At 38.9% G+C, this 17240-nt stretch overlaps 1 protein-coding gene across 11 annotated transcripts in view; it reads left to right on the forward strand.

The window, feature by feature from the left end:
* Positions 1 to 17240, forward strand: part of RFC3 (replication factor C subunit 3) — a 159229-nt gene that overhangs the window by 132067 nt on the left and 9922 nt on the right. For 5 of the 11 annotated variants that reach the window (XR_007063695.1, XM_047430491.1, XM_047430492.1 and 2 more), the window contains one exon: positions 15872 to 16343. The exons of 1 other annotated variant lie outside the window; for it this stretch is intronic. Coding sequence is in view for 3 of the 10 variants with exons in the window: in XM_017020683.3 (XP_016876172.1) it covers positions 15872 to 15938 (67 nt within the window). In the remaining 7 variants the exon portion in view is untranslated. Of the gene's footprint in view, positions 16344 to 17240 lie in introns of those variants that run through there. 5 more of the 11 variants (XM_017020680.3, XM_047430489.1, XM_047430490.1 and 2 more) reach the window with 2 other exon arrangements.

Genomic DNA, 17240 nt, shown 5'->3' on the forward strand with positions numbered 1-17240 from the left:
TAACTTTTACTGTTTCTTCAGGGATGTTCTTAAATAAAAGTGGTTTTTAAAATTTTTACTGTAACTGTGTAGCAGTAAAGAATAAAATGACTGCTAGTACAATTTTGGTGCCTCTGGCTAAGGAACTAGCAGTTTTAGCTAACATTGATTTTGCACTATTAGTAAAAATATCGATATAATGAAAAAGGAAAAAAGTCTTTGTATTATTATAAAAATAGTGTTGACCTGTGGATCCCTAAAAGGGTTTTAGAGACTCTCTAGGGGTCTGCAAACCATATTTAGAAAACCAGTGGAATAAAGAAATACTCCTTTCACCAAAATTTCTAAGTTTCTAACTTGATAATTTGGGCTTGCCCCAGCCATGTTCCCTGGCAACATGGAAGAAAGCGTCTGTAGTTAGGAAAGAATGAGGCCAACACACAGGTCAACTGAGCTGAGAGAAGAAGAGATAGCTCTGATAACATCTTTTTCTGTCTTGGATTTAGCCTTGCCTGAAGCAAGATCTGGACTTTTTGCTTAACAGAGCCAATGTATTCTCTCTCTCTTCTCTTTCTCTCTCTCTCTCTCTTTGAACCTAATCCAGTGTTAGGTTTCTTCTCCTTGTAGCCAAAATGTTTCTATAAGATGGTCCCATCTCATTCACCCAATTTCCTCCTCTAATTTGGTATTCACCATAAGCTCTTCCAAGGTTTCCACCCACATGTTTACTCTTCCCTTCACTTATTCCTCATGTGGTTCTTCCTCTCCATGCCATACAACTTCTACCTGTGGCTGCCAAAGTTCTTGAAGACTTCCCTGATGTCTCCAGCCCACTCTGATGGCTCTTTTTTTTTTTTTTTTTTTTTTTTGGAAATCTGTCATACTGTTATCAATAGAAAAGTTTTTGGTGGTAAATCACTCTCTGGTTTTCTTTTCTAATGGGTTTTGGTCTTGTCATTCTAACTAGAATGTTAGTTTCTTAATGGAAGAGGTCACATTTAAGTGCTCTTTGCATATCACTGGGTATACTATAAGTACATTTTTTTTTTTTTTTTTGAGACAGAGTCTCGCTCTGTTGCCCAGGCTGGAGTGCAGTGGCGCGATCTCGGGTCACTGCAACCTCTGCCTCCTGGTTCAAGCGATTCCCCTGCCTCAGCCTCCCGAGTAGCTGGGAATACAGGTGCATGCCACCACGCCTGGCTAATTTTTTGTATTTTCAGTAGAGACGGGGTTTCACCGTGTGAGCCAGGATGGTCTCCATCTCTGGACCTCATGATCCGCTGGCCTTGGCCTTTCAAAAGTGCTGGTATTACAGGCATGAGCCACCACACCCAGCTGTAAATAACTTTTTTTTTTTAAACCCAGGGGATTTTGTTTTTCTCACATTTCTTAGAAAAATTTTTTCCTTAGTTGACTAAATGGAGAAATTACCTTTCGAAAGCTATCCACAGGCAGCCTTCTGGAATAAAGGAAAGGTTTAGAGTAAATCATCTAATAGAACTACTGGCAAATCTCTATGGTTTCAAACTCATACAGGTGTTTAATATAATAACAAGTTGACAAGTCAAAGATAATAATAGCTGCTATTTACTAAGTGACTTCTATGTGATAAGCAGTAGCTTAGATTCTTTGCATGAATTATCTTTAATTTCCACAATAATCATGAAAGGGAAATATTATTATCATTATCTTATAGCTGAGGAATTTGATCCGGAGAGCTTAAATAACTATTCCAAGTTGGCATAGCTTATCAATTGGAAGTCAAGATTCACAAAGTCATTGGCTTTAAGGCATGTAATAGTTCCATTTACATATGTTGTAAACACTCCCAAGAATAACATTGGATTCAATTGAACATTCATTTGTTGAATGCCTACTAATGTAAAGCACTGTACTTGGTGCCACAAGAGATTCTGAAATGAGAAAAGAGCTCATGGTTTAGCTTGTTTATGTCTGGAGAATATTTTTCTCAGCAAGCAGTCAATAGACTTGAACACGTAAGTGCACAATCCTCATTAAAATATGGTAACCAGCTCCCAAGAAGCAGAAGGGAATGACATGTGCCTTGAGGATTCATTTTTATTGAAAAATCATCTAGAAGCAGTACTCTTTAAATCTCTTTCTGAATTGATCTTGAAGACTACTGATAATGGAAGCAACTGCAGAGAAAGAATACCAGAACCATATAATGTGTAGAAGGAACACATACTTTGGAATCTGAAATAGGAATTTTTGGAAAGTGGGAAAAAGTTCAATTTATTAGACTATATCTTAGCCAGTTCTGAATCTCAGGTTTTCATCTGCAGATGCTGTAATATCTGTCGCACAGGAATGTTGAGCTGATTAAGTAAGTAGGAATAAAGAATGCTGTTCACATACAGAGTTGGTGCTAAGTAGAAATCCCACTACTTTCCCTGGTGATCTCTTCAAATCACCCTCTTAACAACCACAACCTTGGATATGAGAAATGAATGTTTTGGTCCTAGTTGAAAGGGAGATGATGGCCCTTTTCTCCAGCCTCCAATAAAAACTCAAGAACAACCTGTGTGGCATTCTTGCTTGGGCCACTCCTTGAAAATCATGAGGGACAGGATTTCACTCCTCCCAAAGTATCCTCCTAGGCAAATTCTTAGAAAGGTTTTTTTTTCCTATCACAATTTAATTCCTATCAGAATATCTTTGTAATTTCCAGCCCTTGGTTGCAGATCTGTTCGCAGAAGCTACCTAGAAGATATTTCATTCCTTTGTATGGGGAGACATTCAAATATTTGAAATCACAAATCTGCTCTTATAAAAAATTGGCTAAGTAAATTCTTCTTTGACTGTGTAGAATAAACATGCATACAGTTGTCTTTGAAGTCGTTAGCTCACATTGAAAAGAAAAAGTTTAGAAGAAATTAAATATATAATTTTGGGGGAAAATTTATCTATAATTTTAGCTCATAGTTTACAATTCCTATATGACTGTTTGGAAGGTATTTATTTTAGAATGGATGGATGTTCCGTATTAACCTGTAGGAAGGGTTTGTGAATATTCTGTTGCTCTGAATTATTAGCGGTCTAGATCTAGGCTGGACTTTGAGAAATATGAAATAAAAAAATACCTCTTTGGAGTGTGGTGTTGCTCTTTAAAAAAAAAAAAAAAAAAAAGCCCAGTGAATAAAAGGAAAACCCAGTCATTTCTCCTGGAAGCCTTTCAATAGTGACTCAATGGCAATGTTGTGGTTGAAATTGTTGCTCCTAGATAATGAGAAAAGTTAAAGCCATCTTCTCAACAGTGAGTAGAAAAATCTTTTAAATTTTAGAGATGTCATAAATATAGTCTTAAGAAAACTATTGGGAAAACAGTTTCTTGTTTTATTTGCTTATTTCCTAAGGAACAAAAATGATTGCCATTTTACAACTTTATCCCTATAAAGTTGTAGCCTTCATGATGACATAATTCCCAAAGTCAGCTAGAATTCCGAGAATCAAAGAAGAAACTGAAATCTAATTACAGAGAACAAATGCAACAGGCCAGTTATATTTCCAGACGTTTTTGGTTTGCCCAGTTCCCTAATTTTTCATACTTCTCTTTAGTCTGTTCATTTTTTGCTTAAAAATTGAATGGAATTTTGATGCGACATTTTAGAATAAATTTTAAAGAAGCATAAAACTAAAAACCTACTTGGAGAATTATGAATGTTAGGTAACATATACAGTGTTAAGCAGAGTTTTACTAATTGGAGAATTTTACTTGTTCCCTTTTAAGTTTAAAAGATAGGTGTTGCATAACTCTGAAAATCTGGGATGATGAGAAGACCTCAGGCATGTTCTACAAACAAGATTTTAAAGGAATGTCAAGTATGGTGCTAAGAAAATAGTTTAAAATTTGTAATTTCCTTTCACCTAGCTCCCAATCCAGAAAATAATTGACCAAAAAAATTGATAGCAACCTTGTAAAGAGTTAAGGTAAAAAAGAATAACCTCTCATTATCTTTGTTTCTCAAGCAAAATATACATTTTAGTAAACAGATTTTGGGGGAAAAGAATGGAATAGCTACATTTACATGACATCAATAGAGGGCACAATTATTAGAGTTTCATAAGTGTAGCTAAGGAAAAAGATCACAATTCACAAATATAAATTTTTGTCATTTTGAGAACATAGAAGACCCCTGAGTGATGGTCATTTCATCAAATGTCCATGAGCTTTATATTCCAGGCAACAGAGGTCTTCCTTTACAGTGCTTGGACTATGATAATCCTACTATGATTTGAGGTTAATCAGGCCATTATGTGCAAAATTTGAGGATAGGGCCAACTTATCGCAATCTACTTCCATTTTCATGAAGCCTGTCTTAGTTCGTTCAGGCAGTTATGACAGAATACAATAGTCTGGGTAGTTTAAACAACAAACATTTATTTCTCACAGTCCGGAGGCTGGAAGTCCAAGATTAAGGGTGCTGGCAGATCAGGTGTCTGCTGAGGACCCACCTCCTGGTTTGTAGACAGCCATCTTCTGGTTGTGTCCTCACAAGGCAGAGATTAGAGAGCAAGCTCAGGTCTCTGAATTCCCTTATAAAATCACTAATCTCCTCACGAGGGCTCCATCCTCATGACCTAATTACTTCCCAGAGACCTCATCTCCAAATACCAACACACTGGGGATAAAGGCTTCAACATATGAATTTTAGGGGAACACAAACCTTCAGTCCACAGCAAAGCCCATTGCTTACTGTTGCCTCTTTTCAAAATTCAGCACTAAGCTTAATATTGATGTCTCTCCAGCAAACATTTTACTTCAGTTGAGACTCAAACCATTTGAATGGGGCTCAGCAATTTGGTTTGGCTATTTCTCATGCAGCCTCTCTACATGGCCGTGTGTGTGGCAAAAACTCTAAATCTTATGGTGCTAATTTCCCCTTCAGTGTCTAGAAATGGTTTCAGAAAGAATGATGACATCACTGAGCTACCAAGACGGAAAAATTATAGGGTTAATGAACAAGAGTGAAGAAGGAGAAATGAAGCCTTCTCAGAAGCAAGCTACAGGAAGATTAATGTGTGAAATTCTACAAACTAACCAAGTTTAAGGAAGCAGTTGCAAGAGATAAATGATGGAGGACTTGTAAAAAAAGGTTTAACTCTGCTTAACAACGATATTTGTGGGTATTTTTTTTCCTTATGCTACTAGTACAAGCTACAAGTGAAAGAGTAGAATGAAAACAGCTAAAAAAAATTTGCTACAGTGCAACTAGCTGTCAGGTAGGAAGAGTATATCTACATGATAAACAGGCGCTTACCTGAAGGAGGGGCGTGAAAGGGAAATAAATCTTTTATTCACCTTGACTATAAACCTAATCCTGATCTCACTCCCTCCTGACTAGTCCTTAACCCTGCCTCTCAAAAACACTGATTTTGCTCAACATAAGTGTTGTCCAGTAAGTTTTAAAAATATCAAATTAGCTGGCCAATTTAAACATAAGAAAGTGATTGAACTTAAACATGAATGTACTTCAAGCAGTAGCTTAAAGTATATTCTATGGCTAATTTGGGTTTTCCTCAAGAAATAGGTTTCACAGCCAAATAACTTCATGATGCTGGGCTAAACCAGTTAAAAAATTTGCCCCACACACCACCCAGATGTCTCAGGGGCTTCAGGAGGCGCATGTGCAGGCCACGTGCAGGAGAATGCAGCATGTCCTAAACAACTTTCTATCACTGCCCCAACTTTTCCAAATGTTGAAGAAGGAGCCTAATCTATAAAGTGTTGGTTAATAATGCATCTCTCAAAATATAAATAAATTATAGCATTCTTCAAATAGAAAAAATTAACAAAGTTTAACAACTGTATCATTCACCAAATATCTACTATTTCTCCTCTTCTTTAATCTATTTGTTTGCATTCAACTCTTTAAATAAATGCAGACCTCTCTGCCAGTGTCCACCAATGTGTTAAAAATCCCCCTCTATCTTGCCTCCTCTTGGAAAGACACAGAGAGGACACAAAATAAAGAGAAAAGATTAAAGTGTATTTTCCTTTCTTGCACTGAGGTTAATTAAAAATACATCAGAAATATTGAAACATAAAAATCAGAACATTGGATTGGAAATTAGTGGTTGGATTTCTAGGAAGGGTAGGTTAAAGTCCTAAGTATTAGTTTAATCTGAGACGTAATCACAGCAGTGATTTCTGGGCCCACGTTGGTATAAGATATTTCCTGATGGCAGCTTGTGAATACAGATGAACACAGCAAATTGTACATCATCTCAGGAATACTGAAGCCCAAACTAATAAATTTCCCTAAACTCTGCTAAACTAGAAACATATGCTACAGGAGATGTTCTAACCTACAAATAAAATACATTATCTCATACCAAAAAGTATTTCCATATGCCCAAACCTTAAATGCATGACTGTTATGTAGTTCAGGGATTTTGTTTCTTAGAACTTCTGTATCAAGAACACATAAAGAAGAGTGTGGAGTCCCAGGAGGCTCTTCCCACTCTTAGCTGTGTGAAGCTGGGTAAAGCACTAGATGTCTAGTGAGGCTGTTTTTGATTGTTTGTAAAACAGGAAAATAATCCCTGCTTTAAGTATCCACACATATGTCCTGATAATCAAATGAGAAAATTTAGAACCTAATAAATAGTAAAGTTGTATATGTGTGTTAGTTGCGAATAGGATATAATCTTGTACATCTCTCTTTTTTCCTTTCCTTCTGTCTATATGTTTAGGTCTATGCAGAGATCTAATATCTGTCTGTATATATCTATTTATCTTCTCCATCATCATCTCATCATTTATCATCTAACATTTATCTACCTACTATCTATTATCTATCATCTATCTATCCATGATCATCGTCAACTATTATCTATTTATCTACTGATCTATATTTAAACATGTCCTTTTGTTATGCTTCTGTATATATACAACTGTATTGGTGACTTTTTTACAGGTTTCAAAGATGACTATAAATGTGTAGGTTATTTATTTCTTTCTCTTAATATTCTGAAGCATCCCAAAGACTACGTCAAAAAATTATGGTGAAAAGCTGAAGATAGTAATTTATTTGCGTCAATTTTCCCAGAACCTCATTGGATGATCAAGCCTGCATTTCTTTTCTTCTTTATTGTTATAAAGTATTAGTTATTCCAGAGAGGAGAAAAACATAATTGGATTATTTAGGACCTATATTTTGTAATGTCACCTAATTTTATAATATAACAGGTACCATTATGGCAATGCAAAATAAAACATGGGATGAAGTTGCTCAGGATGCAGAGCAGTGTGGTTGGTGTGCATTTTGCCCTGTTCCGTACCACTTATGACTACTGAATATTCTACAAATGTGCAGAGAAATGGGCGACATTTGTTTTGGAGTAACCTGGAAGGATGAGGCCCAATTCTGCTTGCTCTAAAGGATGAATAGTTCTTTTGAAAGCCAAGTACATAACTGTGAGGCCCGGAAGCTCTAAGTTCACTTAGACAAACATGTCACTGTGATGGCTGATCTTTAGCACAAGCGCAAGCCCACTGCATTGATTGGCCCAGAACCCAATGTAGTCAAACGTGAAGGTCTTCTGTACACCGTGGATGGTGGGGAGAGGAGGGCAATCCCTCAAAGCCTGGAGTCTTTCTCCAGTCTTGCCAGTCTCCCAGGCTGGCCAGGTGGCAGCTGGTCTGCCTGCTTCTCTTTCTTTTTACAGGTTGTTCCTGAACTTTTACTATTGTACCATACTCTGCTGTAGGAAATTAGGAATACAATGGTGAACCAGGCAGATGCTGCACCTGTCTTTATAAATCTTATATCCTAGTAGAGACGAGAGTTTTAAAAAAATCATACTAACAAAATTAGACTCCAAATTATTATAAATGCCAAGAAGGAAATTAATAGACTGAAAGAACAAATAAAAAGCAGGTGGTTCCATGGATAGCGAGATCAGAGAGGGACTCTTTGAGGAGGTGACAGTGAAGTTAAGACATCAAAGTAGGTCTCAGATTAAATGCCAGAGCATGAAGAAGTTTCTGCTGGAAGAGGGTGATTGAACATCGCAAGTAAAAGAAACGTCAAGTACAAAGGCCTTGAGGTGGGAATGGGCCAGGCCGTTTGGAGTGTAATGGCAGGGTCCCGTCTAGGGAGTACAGCTGTAGCTTTTGAATTGTCATAGACCCATGCCCCAGGAGCAGTGAGGAGAACAAGTGATTGGGGATTTCTGGAGGTATTTGCACTTTGCTCCTGTTCTTATAATCAAGTGAAGCTTTTCAAACTGAGATGGATGTGTTTCAGTATTTTCACAACTGACATGTTTGTACCAGATCAAACTGGATGAGTGTTACCCCTGAGAGGTGGAGTTTTTCTGAACATACTTTGGAAACGTACTCTATGCAACAGCATAGAGACGGAAAACAGAAGGCGTTTTTCAGAAATAGGAAATAATCTTGTTTACTATAGGGAGAGTGTGGGATGATGTCTGGAGTTTCAGGTAAGGCTTGATGTGGCTTCTGGGAAGACTGTGGAAAGCTCTGAATGTCAAGTATGTTTTTAATCCACCATAATGTTGACACCAGCCACTTGACCTTACTTGCAGAGATGAATACCATGAGCATCCTGGCTGCCCTCTGCATCTTGGCTGCCCTACCCCCATGATTACCTGGCACTTCCCATTTGCCTCCATGATCTAGGACATGCCTGGTATTGCAGAGGGCCTCCAAGGCCATACTGGCATTCATTATGACTAGTTGGTATTTATTCATTACTGGTTATTAAATATTTTAAATGTCACTTATATTAGTTCCACAGAACTATTATTTTAAAAAATTCTGCATTTAAATAGCTTTGGAGATACAAGAAAGACATAAGATTCTGTGTCTCCAGACATGCTTGAGAGCCTCTTTCACCCCAGTTGCTGCTCAGGGACCTAGAGATCCACAGAGTGCCCTTTGGTAACACTCCTGATCTGCTTCAGTGACTTTATTTAAATGTCTCTTGTGTTAAATTCCTCCCACATGTAAGCCACCTCCACCCTGTGGTCTCTGCTCTCCTTCTAAAACACAACTATGATTAGGTTATTTCCCTGCTTACAAACTCGATAACTTCTCATACCTGCAGAATACAGGCCAAACTCCTTATTAAGGGCTTCCAAGACTCTTTGCAAATGGTTACCTCTCCACACGTCAACACCTGTTATTCCCAGTTCTTCCCTCAAGGCCCCTGTGACCTAGACACAAATGACGATTTTGAACACAGCAAAGACTTCATAGCTCCTGGCTTCCTCTTGATTCCCTTGCCATAGACCCCTGATCTTGCAGACCCCAGCATAAATTGCATTCTTCCTATGAAATCATTCTCAATCTCCTCACTCCCAGTGAGTCTCCCCACTCTCAGCTCTCATGGCAATTTGTTTACATCCAGAACATTTATCTCAGGCCCAGTTGTACTTATTTATTGTTAGCCTTGTCCATTTTGGTCTCCACCAGACAGTGATCTCTGGCACTACATGGTCTTCATCTCCTAATGACCCACCCTGCCCCTTCCTCTACCACCAAGGTATGGCTTTATACCTTGCACCCATTTCCTGTTTTTTGTCAACCTAGGCTAACTGTGTCAGGCCATTCTTGCACTGCTATAGAGAAATTCCTGAGACTGGGTAGTTTATAAAGAAAAGAGGTCTAATTGGCTCATGGTTCTGCAGGCTGTACAGGAAGCATAGCGCCGGCATCACTCAGCTTCTGGGGACAGCTCAGGAAGGTTTTACTCATCGCAGAAAGCAAAGTGGGAGCTTGTAGGTCACATAGTGAAAGCAGGAGCAAGAGAGAGTGTCAGGGGAGGTGCCACACACTTTTCAATGACCAGCTCCCATGTGAACTCACTGTTGTGAGGACACCACCGAGGGAATGGTGCTAAACCATTCATGAGAAATCCACCCCCATGATCCAGTCACCTCCCACCAGGCCCCACGTCTAATACTAGGGATTACATTTCAACATGGGATCTGGGTGGAGACAAATAGACAAACTATATCAGTAACCAAAAAACAAACAAAACAAAACAACCAAAAAACAAAAATCAAGTGATGGTATTGAAAGGGCACTCAATCAGAAGATCTGGTCTTCAGGCCGGTCTCTGAACCTGAACAGATATATGGCCTTGGGCACACTCCATAAGATCAGGGGCTCTGGTACCTTAAAGGATAAACGAAGAGTCTTGCCCGAGTCTAGCTTCTCCGCAGAAACTTGAGCCCATGCCTGACCTTATCTGTATAAAAATGCACTGTAATTATTTTTTAAATTTGCATTGTTAGGCCCATCTGACACACAGCCAGTGTTAACCTACCTTCCTTCTACTGTCAGTGAATTCTCCACCTACAAGGACTGGGCATCCTTCATCTAAGATTTCTGGTCATGTTGGGTCAATATCAAAGGTGTTTTGGGCAGTTCTTCTTGTAGGTTAACTGTCAGGACCTCACTGGAAAATCAGTACACAGAAGGAGAATGACAAATAGCCCTGGGAGGTGCAGGCTCCCCTTCTCCCACTGCCTCAATTCACACACCCTTATTTCTCACCTAGGGCACCCCAGCAGACTGGCCTCCTGCACTCATGCCCCAGATGGAGACCCAGGTGACCCTGAACATGCAAATGTGATCATTATTGCCTGCCTGAAATCTGCCAATGATCTCTGGTGCTTTTGGGGCCACGTTTAAATCATGATCTGATCCCCCCCTCTTGTTCTATGGTCACTCCATTATTCACTTCTTATTGCAGTCCCTACATCACTAGCCATTCCCTATCAACTTAGGGTGGTCCAGTGAAATCCAGGACACCCAATTAAGTTTGAATCTCAGATAAATCACAAATAATGGTTTAGTATAAGTATGTTCCAAATATTAAATGGGAGGTATTTATACTTACAGTAAAACATTATTTGTTGTCTATATGAAACTCAAATTTTACTGAGTGTCCTGGATTTTTATTTGCTACATCTGGCCACCCCGCCTATTACACACATGGTCTCAAAGACCCCTGCTTGCTCCCCTGCTGTCATTTCTTCCACGGCCACATTTTTCTCCCTCTCCTCCTACTTCACATCTGTGCATCATTCAGAACTCCTTCCATTTCCTCGTCAAAGCCTCCATTACTTCCAATCTAATTTGAATGCTTCTCTATGTTACCCTGGGCCTATGTCTAGTAATTTATTTATACAAACCTACTGTAATTATTTATTTGTATTTTTCTCTGACTCACTGAACATTTCCTGAGGGCAGGAATCATGGCCTCTTCTTTTATCTATTCCTAGAAACAGAAATAGAATAACAGAATGGCTGGCACATCATAGCTGTTCAATATTGTTGTTTGATGAATCAAATGATGTCATTTACTAGCTTTTGAAAGCACACAAAGAAAAACATATGGGCAGAGGCCTAGGTTTCCAGGGTAAAGGAGAAGAAGATACCAGACATCAAAGCTGCTAACTCATTTCTGGATGGCCATATTTATGAGACAATTAAGGGGACTGCAGTTAGGAGGCAGGCTGCAGATACAAGAGGAACACTCAAGACAGCACAGTCAGAAAGCCCATGGCCAGATATCAGTAACTGAGAACATAGAGACCAGAGATTGGAAATAGTGCTTTGGAAGCCTTGCATCTCAGTAACCCCATGGAAGAATAAGCCTTAGGATAATGTGAATTTGACAGTAAAGATTGATGACCTGGCTGACAAATAAAGGCTATACCGTGAAATCTTTTCCTCTGTAAGAATTTTAGCAAAAGAGAAGGAATGGGACCATCTGGCCACAACTGTCTTAAAGAAACTGATCTCATCAGCAATGGTCCCCAGAGGAGTCATGAACAGTGGCTTGGGAGTGTCAGGCAAGCCCTTCTTCTGGCTGTACAAAGTGATGGTGTGGCCAGTGCAGGCAGCAAGAGCTTGCAGAGGCAGGTGGTAACTTTCCTGTTTTCTCTGTAGGATCCTTTTCCCAAACTTCCTCTCCTTTCTCTAGACTGTTCATGCCACTTCAAATCCTAATTTGAGAATTAGCCAGAGCTATGAGGGGGGATATGTAAAGGAAGATTTGATGGATCTGCCAAAGAAAGGAGATCAAAAACACAGGCCATTAACCTGTCGGTGCCTCAGGGTCCCAGCTCATCCTGTCTCCTTCACTTCTTCAGCAGAAGCTTTCCCCCATTTTTCTGTTCTTTACTCTCCTCTTGCTTCTTATCAACCTAACCCCCAGCCCCACACCCCAAGTGAATGGCTTTTGGCTTAATGAATGTTTACTAATGGATAAGCTACTGTCCTACACTTTCAGAATAAATGTTGAGAGTCTGACAAATAGTCACAGCTTTTACAATATACTTCTGGGGCATATCCTAAGGAACCAATCAGAGGCCAAATATTTATGTTCACTGATGTGCATTACAATATTACAATCTGAGATGCTCATGCAACAAAATACTATCCAACCATCAGAATAACATTTTCTGGGAATATTTAATAACAGAGGGAAATGCTTGTGATTGCCATCATGAAAATCAAAATAAAAGATTCTAAGTTCCAAATAGTGTTATGTATGTATGTATGTATAGATACATACATAAGACACAATGAAGCATTGAGGTTAGAGGCATGAGGCTTGGAGTTAGACTCTTTTAGTGGCACTTTTACTGTTTTTTAGTTGAGATTCTCTGAAAATTCACTGGGCATCAGGATGTCATTATAAAATCAGAGGAATAGAATTTGTCTAATAGAACATTTTTGTGAATTTATATGAGAGACCCTTTGTCAAATGACTACTCTAGTCCTACCCACAGCAGGAATTCAATAAATGGTATATACATATATAAATTTAAAATATTACTACCCAAAATATATGAAAGTCTTATTACCACAGGTTACCACTAAGTAGTGGTATTACAGGTTTTTCAATTTATTCTCCATGTTTCTTTATTTTTAAGTTATGTATAGTAAGTATATATTACTTTTACAATTATAATTAAAATATTATAAGTAAATTGACATAAAGTTTGCAACAGCTGAGATATTTATTTTGTTTTCGTTTTTATTTTCTTTTCTTGCTAGAGACAAGATAAAAAGATCTAGGGCTATTGCCAACAACATGCCAAGGTCAAATAGGAGACTCTGTGTGACCTAATATTTCCTGGCAGACATGAAGGCTCAGGATGGCTCTTGCCTACTTAAGCAAAACCTTAATTCAGAAAACAGGTCTGTAGGAACAGTTTGTGTTATATTTATAAAACTTAAAACTACCTAAACAGTAAGATACTGTAGTTGCTGAGAATCACGCTCTGCAGTGAGGACACCAAATTAATTATCGTTGATGAAAGGCTGTGTTAGTGAGAGCAAAACTTAGAGACTCCAGACACACCTTTCCCTACTCACATGCCTGATTACAAACCTCGAGATGCTCTATAGAGCAGTGTGCATTTACTTAGGGACATTTTAATTTTGTTTGATATTTCCTCCATCCTCTGTTTCTATAATGGACTTCTGGGCTTCCCTGACTTGTCTCTGTTCTTCTGTGTTCATGTCTCTCTGTGGAATGACAGTTAATGAAGAGAAAGTGAACGTGTTATCACGGCCAACACTGAGATTGCAGGAGGAAAGATATGAAAGCCACAGGAAAGATATGAAAGCCTCACCAAAGAGGAAATAAACCACCTAAAATAAAAGGCAATTTTGTTTGTGAAATGTGAAAAATGTGATAATCTACTTTATTTATGATGGACTACATGTTAAAGTGTGGGGTGATGAAAAGAGCCACCTTCTGTCCTCTGCCCTCCGCCTTCAAGCTGGTCTTGACCATCATTGTCGTCCTTCAAATGATGAAATCGCTGCAGTAACTTCAGGGCTGTTTGCTCTGCTGCTGACCTCACTGTACACAAATTAGCCCTTCTTCTGAGGCTCAACTATGCTATGTCCATTACCCTAGTTACTGCTCACAATCTACATAATGTGACAGATCATGAAACATGAACTAGTAAAATGTGTATTTATAAAGGAGGCAATACCGTTATTGTTTTCAGAGGAAATGACAGTATGTCTAGAGAGCTCATGAAAAATAGAAGAGATAGAAAATGGGTATTCCAAAGCCTAGACTTTTTAAAAGCAATTATCAATCATAAGCTATAATGAAAAGAATGTGATTCACAACAGTGGTTCTTCTGTGAGCCAGATGGGTGTGGATTCCATTCAGAAGTAGTGCATAGTCCCCAAGCTTGCACCTCACTTGAGCCCTGGATCCCCAAATCATTCTGTTTTTGTCCAGAGTTTCACAAGGTTGATTTTGAAAATGTTCCCACCAGCTCTGGCTATGGGAATCACAGTGGGAAATAAACGCCATAGCATCTTCCCCATCATCCCCGTCTCCTCCTGAGACAAAACACATTTTCCCCTAAATGCTAACTGGGCTGTCTGCCTCCAGCATAGACAATCTTTTACATTTTTACCACAAAGTAGTTTTAGCTGCCTGGACCACATCACCAATTGAATAGTATGATGTTCTGGGTAAGGGCAGAATAGTGGGTTGAATGGTGACCCCCAAAAATATAGGTCTATGTCCACTTCTCTAGAAACTCTGAATGTCACTTCATTTGGAAAAAGGATATTTGCAAATATAACTAAGTTAAAGGTCTTCAGATAAGATCACCCTGGCTTATACAGGTGGTCTCTATGTCCAACATAATGTGTTATTTTAAGAAACACAAAGAGGACAGACAACGAGGAGGGAGTGTAAACCTGGAGGCAGAGATTAGAGTGATGTGGCCACAAGCCAAGGGATGCCACAGAAGTTGGAAAAGTTGGAAGAGACAAGAAACAATCTCCCCTAGAGTCTCTGGGGGAAAGTCTGGCCCTGTTGACACCTTGAATTTGAACTTCTGGTCTCTAGAATTATGAGTCAATTTCTCTTGTTTTAAGGCATCTAGTTTAAGATAATTTGTCAAAGCTACTTCAGGAAACTCAGAGAAGCAGGTTCTAGAGTTAGCAAATGAGGACTATAGTCCCAAATTCGATATGACCTTGGGCAAGTTGATAAACCTCTACAGTCATCTGTAAGGTGGGGATGATAAAAATAATACAGTCATGAGCTATTCGGTCAATGACAAGGTAGTCCTATGAGATTCTAATACTGTATTTTTATTGCACCTTTTTATGTTTAGATACACAAATACCATTGCCAAGAGTATTCAGTACAGTAACATACTGTACAGGTTTGTAGCCTAGGAGCTATACCAAATAAATAGTACAGGTGTGTAGTAGGCTATCCTATGTAGCTTTGTGTAAGTACACCCAAGAAAGTTCACACAAGGACAAAATCCCCTTACAGTGCATTTTTCAGAAAGTATCTCTATCATGAAGCAATGTAAGACTGTATGTTCCTCACACGGGTATTGTGAGATTTAAATAAGATGTCTATATATTATTGTTATTGCATTTTTATAATGAAAAGGCCAAGGAAAGGGGTTTGCCTGAAGAAGGGAAGACAGTCCTCTAAAGGTGTATTGGATCACCACCTCTTATCAGATAGAAACTATCTTCAGCATTTAAACAGTGGTTCTGTTTTAGAGTGTACCTAGCACATTTTGAAATACCCTAGAGTCTGTTTTCTCTAAGCACCTGGACAGGGCTTTGCAGGTGTCCTTGACATATGCCCTCAGCTTGACCCATTGAGTGGACCTAGTTTGACCACCATCTCTTATATTCCGCATGCTCTTTAATGACATTGAATATTTACTTGTCTTTGCCTTATTTTCTTAATTCATTCGTAGCTTGCTCCTGAGCCTTAAATTACTTTGAAGTGTATTACACATCCTTTGTATCCTCTATGGAATCTCATTCATAGTAGGGTCTGTGATAAACAATTGATTGGATAGTGAATATCTCTTACAGGCATGTAAGGAGGAATCAAGAAGCTGTGACATATTCTGAGGACCTCCAAAGAACAACTTGCTACTGACTGGACTTCTCTCATCTTTTAGCATGTGAAGTTTTGCAAATATAATCCACTTTGCTCTGAATGTCCTGACACCTGCTTCAGAGCTCAAGATTCAGACTCCAGCCTGAATGTTATTTCCTGAGAAAATCCCTCCCTGACCCACTGTGCTGGTTAGGTCCACCTGCTAATCACATCCACAAAACCCTCTGCTTCTCCTTCAAAACACTCATCTCCTCTGTAATGATCAGATGAACTCATGTCTTTCTCAGAGGACAATAAATTTGATGAATGGGGACCATGGAAGTTTATTTCCATCTGTATCCCTACATCTAACTCATCTGCTGGTACCTATTTGTCATGTATTTAATAAGTACAACTACCTATGCCACCCTGCAATAAAATGATATTGTTACTTTCTCTTCTTTAGCTTTGGTCTGCTATTTTCTCACAAATATTTTTTCTATGCACATTGGTTTGTCAGGGAGTAAAATGTCTGACATGTATATTATACTTTTATTATATTCAAATTACAGCTTAGGAACTTAATGGACTCAATGAAAAATACTACTTTTGGAAATGAGCACTTTGAGTTCTCAGCTTTCCTCTTCAATACTTTGTAACCCTACAGAGTGGCATGAATTTCTATAGCAGCAAGGATACAAGATCTCAATTTCTTGGACAAACCAACATGCAAGTAAATTATATTGTTTTCCAGGAAAATTTCATAGAAAAATGGGAAAGTGGCCAGGCGTGGTGGCTCACACCCATAATCCCAGCACTTTGGGAGGTCAAGGCAGGCATATCACCTGAGCTCAGGAGTTCAAGACCAGCCTGGGCAACATGGCGAAACCCCGTCTCTACTAAAAATACAAAAAATTAGCTGGGCGTGGTGGTGCCGCTTGTGGTCCCAGTTACTCGGGAGGCTGAGGTGGGAGGATCACTAGATCCCAGGAGATAGAGGTTGCAGTGAGCTGAGACCACACCACTGCACTCCAGACTGGGTGACAAGAGTGAGACTCTACCTTAAAAAATTAAAAAAAAAATTTAAAAAAAGGGAAAACATTAGGGATAAACTAAAGTTAACAAATTTATTAGCATGAGGATAAAGACCTAATTAAGAGAAGCCAATGAAATTTTATCCTTTTCTAATACCCAGTTAGTATTTCCCATACTGTATTCTGCGGAGTGCCAGTCCTTGAGATGATCCAGGTAAAGGAGCTTAATGAGTTAAGTTTGTTTAAGAAACACTACTATTTAAGATCTCTTCTGGAGAGTACAATATATATGAGTCCATTAAATGCTCTGCAGAATCCTACCATTGAG

The sequence above is a fragment of the Homo sapiens genome, chromosome 13 (genome assembly GCF_000001405.40).
Source record: "Homo sapiens chromosome 13, GRCh38.p14 Primary Assembly".
Lineage (NCBI taxonomy): Eukaryota > Metazoa > Chordata > Mammalia > Primates > Hominidae > Homo > Homo sapiens.